Here is a 5,436-nt window from a genome sequence, read left to right on the forward strand (position 1 = left end):
AAAATAACAGTGAAAGGTTGCTCACAGATACTCAATATTTTTTCATACACCATTAAAATTGAACCTCCTCCTCTACGCAGTGACCCCATCTGTCCCCATTACAACCTCTGACAGCTGCCACCCTAGCTGGATCCCTAGGATTCTGGGTACAAGACACCCCTTTCAGCACTCCTTCTCACCTTTTTACTTTACATCTCCAGTTTTGCCTCGCACAAGGTCTATTCTTCCTCTGTGGATCCTCTACCTACATGTATCTACCTGCTAATTGGACAGGCACATGTACACTAGTTTTCCTTACCCCCAAAATTCAATTTGCAAATGGGACCGAAGAGCTCCCTGTTCCCCTTATGACACCGACACGACCAAAAAGAGTTATTCCACTAATTCCCTTGATGGTCGGTTTAGGACTTTCTGCCTCCACTATTGCTCTCGGTACTGGAATAGCAGGCATTTCAACCTCTGTCACGACCTTCCGTAGCCTGTCTAATGACTTCTCTGCTAGCATCACAGACATATCACAAACTTTATCAGTCCTCCAGGCCCAAATTGACTCTTTAGCTGCAGTTGTCCTCCAAAACCGCCGAGGCCTTGACTTACTCACTGCTGAAAAAGGAGGACTCTGTATATTCTTAAATGAAGAATGTTGTTTTTACCTAAATCAATCTGGCCTGGTGTATGACAACATAAAAAAACTCAAGGATAGAGCCCAAAAACTTGCCAACCAAGCAATTATGCTGAATCCCCTTGGGCACTCTCTAATTGGATGTCCTGGGCCCTCCCAATTCTTAGTCCTTTAATACCCATTTTTCTTCTTCTTTTATTCAGACCTTGTATCTTCCGTTTAGTTTCTCAGTTCATCCAAAACCATATCCAGGCCATCACCAATCATTCTATACCACAAATGTTTCTTCTAACATCCCCACAATATCACCCCTTACCACAAGATCTCCCTTCAGCTTAATCTCTCCCACTCTAGGTTCCCACGCCACCCCTAATCCTGCTTGAAGCAGCCCTGAGAAACATCACCCATTCTCTCTCTCCATACCACCCCCCAAGAATTTTCACCGCCCCCACACTTCAACACTATTTTGTTTTATTTTTCTTATTAATATAAGAAGGCAGGAATGTCAGACCTCTGAGCCCAAGCCAAGCCATCGCATCCCCTGTGACTTGCACATATATGCCCAGATGGCCTGAAGTAACTGAAGAATCACAAAAGAAGTGAAAATGCCCTGCCCCACCTTAACTGATGACATTCCACCACAAAAAAAGTGTAAATGGCCGGTCCTTGCCTGAAGTGATGACATTACCTTGTGAAAGCCCTTTTCCTGGCTCATCCTGGCTCAAAAAGCTCCCCCACTGAGCACCTTGCGACCCCCACTCCTGCCCGCCAGAGAACAAACCCCCTTTGATTGGAATTTTCCTTTACCTACCCAAATCTTATAAAACGGCCTCACCCCTATCTCCCTTCCCTGACTCTCTTTTCAGACTCAGCCCGCCTGCACCCAGGTGATTAAAAGCTTTTATGGCTCACACAAAGCCTGTTTGGTGGTCTCTTCACATGGACGCGCATGAAAGCCTACTTGTGATATTTATTTATGTCTGCTCTGTACCCATGAGATAGTAAGCTTCTTAGGAATAAGTTCTGTCTAGTTATTCTTTATATTGCTCATACTACATAGTACATTATTTTGCACCTATTAAGTATTCAAGTTTTTTTTAATTAAATTATACATGCAGTATTTTAAATGCCTTGAAGAATGGGGCTATTGAGTGCCTAATCCTGGTCTGACCCAAAGTCTTATACACATTGTTGCTCAGTCATTTGTTGACTTGAAAGAATGAATATTAAATATTAAGGAATGTTAAAGGTAAAGAAAGAATATAAATATTAATATGAGAAAGAATGGAGTAAACTCTGTAGACCAGTAGACAAACTGGGAAGCTGCTCACTCATTCTCTAGCATGGATTAGATGTTATCTTAAAGCAGATCAGAGGAAACGTCAAGTAAGTGCATAAAGTCACAGGTTGTCACTTCTTGAGATGGTTACTTTTATAGGTCAACTCAAATGAACCATGGGGTGTCAGTTATGTGGTTAAACACTATTCTGAGTGTCTGTGAGGGTGTTTATGGGCGAGATTAATATTTGAATCAGGAGGCGGTAAAGCAGATTGCCCTCCCAACGTGAATGGGTCTAACCCAAGTCATTGGAGGTCTAAAAAGAATAACAAAAGAGTGATTAAGAAAGAATTTTGTCTCAGTGTGACTGTCTCTGAGCTGTAAAATCAGTCTTCTCCTGCCTTTGGACTGGGACTCAGACTGGAACTTACATTATCAGCAGTCTTTGGTCTCCAGTTTGCTGACTGCAGATTTTGGTACTTCTCAGTCTCCATAACCATGTCCTTTATCTACTAACATGAAATTTTAGTAGTTCATGTGGAGCGAGAGAGAGGGATTTAATGTTAATTTTAAATATTAAATCCTCTATTAATATTAAATTCCTCTCTCTCGTTACACATTCATACATATTATATATTTTCAAGAAAAAAAAAAACAGACCTTATAGGATGTGTGTGTATCTCTTCATATACCAAATATAAAACTCACACAATGAGAATCAGTGTGAGTTTTCTATTAATATAAACAAATCACCTCAAACTTTATGACTTAACATGAAAGTCATTTATTATTCAACAGTTTCTGTAGGTCAGGAGTCCAGGCATAGCTTACCTGGGTCCACTGCCCAGGGTCTCAAAAAAGTTGCAGTAAGGTATCAAACAGGCCTTCAGACCCATTTGAGCTTGGGGTCTCCTTCCAACCTCATGTGGCTGTTGGCAGAATTCACTTTCTTGTAGCTGTGTAAGTTATGGTGCCTTTCTTCTTCAAGGCCAAAAGGAAAATATCTCTGAGCTCAAGGAAAGCCTAACCAATCTTTTAAAGGGGCTCATTTGATTTGGTTAAGTCCTACTGAGAATAATAACCCCTTCGATTAAATCAAAATAAAACTGATTTGGGGCCTTAATTACATCTGCAAAATCTCTTCACCTTTGCCATATGATATAATGTAATTATTGGAGTGACTTCCATCAAATTCACAGGTAATTCCTACATTCAAGGGGAGAGATATGCATATCAGAGGGTAGTAATATTTGGGTCATCTTTGAATTTTACTTACTTAACCTAGTTAATTGTTTTAGATTATATCTGATATGTCCTTTGCATCTTCCTTGCCTTTAATTTCTGAAGACTCACTGACATTAAAAGTTTAGAAATCCTGAGAGCTTTAAAAATGAAATGGCTAAAAAGTTTGAGATCCTTAGAAATGCCCAGATTGGAACTTGAAATACAATACTATCGGAAATAAAATAAAGCTCTAGAAAAGACTGAAGAAAAAAAAAACCAACCTTACTTCTTGCTATTTATTAGAGCAAAGGGTGTTTCTACGAACTATATAAAGTAGGGTCAAGATGTTCTTCTTTGGAATGGGCTGGAAATATCCCAGTGCTTTCATGAAGCCTCTGGGTTTCATCAAGATGACATATTTTAAGTCTTTATAAATCTATCATTTCCTGGATTTTTTTCATCTTTTAAAAATATATAGTACAAAATACATTTAGTATATTCTGTCAAATTAGATCATCTCCCTTAAACTGGAAAGGTGTGGTTAATACATTAAACACAAGCATTTATTCTTTCATTTTCTATAACATTGAATAAAAAGAAATAGTGTAGTATATGGGTTTCTAGCTCACAATGAACACTGTTCACACTTTTTTTAGAGAGAAAGCGAAACAATTTTACAGGGTAGTCAGATTGCTAAGCACATAATTCAAACCACTGCCATGACTTTCTTTATTTTATTTTATTTTATTTTTTTGAGATGGAGTTTCGCTCTTGTTGCCCAGGCTGGAGTTCAATGGCACGGTCTCAGCACACTGCAACCTCGGCCTCCTGGGCTCAAGCAATTCTCCTGCCTCAGCTTCCCAAGTAGCTGGGATTACAGGCGTGCACCACCTTGCCCAGTTATTTTTTGTATTTTTAGTAGTAGAGACGGGGTTTCACCATGTTGACCAGGCTGGTCTCGAACTCCTGACCTCAGGTGATCAGCCTGCCTCGGCCTCCCAAAGTGCTGGGATTACAGGCATGAGTCACCGCGCCCAGCCTGCCATGACTTCTACTTTGTGGATGATAGCAACTTTCATGGCATGTAGTGCTTCCTGTCATATAATCATGCTTATAAGGAACTATGGTTTTTTCAACTATTAGAGAAAGGAAAATATTTACCATCCTATGCCTCTGCTTCCAACACAATGTATGTGATATACATTCCCAATTCCAGAATAAAAAATAATCTCTCAATTTATTCTTATAAAAGGCTCGTGTGGAAAATTGCAAAAGAGATTGGGACATCAATTTGATCTCTAGGAGAGAATAAGCAGAAAAGTTGAATTAGCTTTGCTTTCTTTGGCTAATTTCCATTCCTCCCTCCTCCATTCCAAAAACAAATGGCATAAGATAGCTTATCCGATAGAAATTCACTCATTTACTTCTTACTTCACCTCCATTGGCATCTGTGACTACAGTAAATTTCCCTTTAGTTCACTGCGGGTCAAGGACCATAGAAAACTATTCAGAACTTAGGGTGAGATGATCAGTAAGAAAAAACTATTACTAAATGGACTTTGAATTATTGGTTACCTTATAGGATTCTGGTGTGACTGCTTAAAAAGAAAAGAAAAAGAAAAAAAATGAAAAAGAAAGGAAGTAAATGGAGGGAATCAGAGAAGAATGTATTAATTACTTGGAAAAATCATGTTACATTGATCATATTCAAACACTATTCTCTCAAGGACTAGCTCACTATGCATAACATTTACAGTGTTACACAGGACTGTATCCTTGGAGAAAACTCTCAGTTCTTTCTTCAATTCACAGTCCCTTGTATATTATATAAATCTTTATATACAGTAATAGTCAGGAATCCAAGTAATCTATCATATTTGATCAAGACAAGCATAAATCATTTATTCATGATTTACCATTCCTAGCTTGAGTCATTGATTCATCTCCAGACAAGACAAGGTCAGTACCAAAAAAAAGATTAAGCTCCTTGCCCTTAGGAGAGAACAGCTTAACCAACAAATTCATCTTCACATCTGACCTCATGAATCTTGACACTGGGAGTACTGTGAGAATAAAAATAGCCCTTCTAGACGGCTCTTTAAATGGAAATGTCCGTATAAGAGTAAAAATACAGAGTGGAAGAATTAATGATGAAAATATGATGGGTGTGTCATCCTGATCCTCACAATAGGACAATCTGATTCAACTAACATACAGTTACCTGTACTTAACAGAATTTATTTTTAATATGTTTGCCACACCAATTCATGGCTTTTGCAGCTTTACTTCTTCCCAGTCTCCTATCCTGTGG

At 38.7% G+C, this 5,436-nt stretch overlaps 1 annotated feature.

Moving 5' to 3' along the window:
• Positions 489–994: an enhancer, noted in NCBI's record as "H3K27ac hESC enhancer chr3:175552923-175553428 (GRCh37/hg19 assembly coordinates)". NCBI's record gives its function as "activates a minimal SCP1, AML or CMV promoter by ChIP-STARR-seq in primed H9 embryonic stem cells {active_cell/tissue: H9 hESC(primed)}" and the evidence as "EXISTENCE:reporter gene assay evidence [ECO:0000049][PMID:30033119]".

The sequence above is a fragment of the Homo sapiens genome, chromosome 3 (assembly GCF_000001405.40).
Source record: "Homo sapiens chromosome 3, GRCh38.p14 Primary Assembly".
In the NCBI taxonomy this organism is placed as follows: Eukaryota; Metazoa; Chordata; class Mammalia; order Primates; family Hominidae; genus Homo; species Homo sapiens.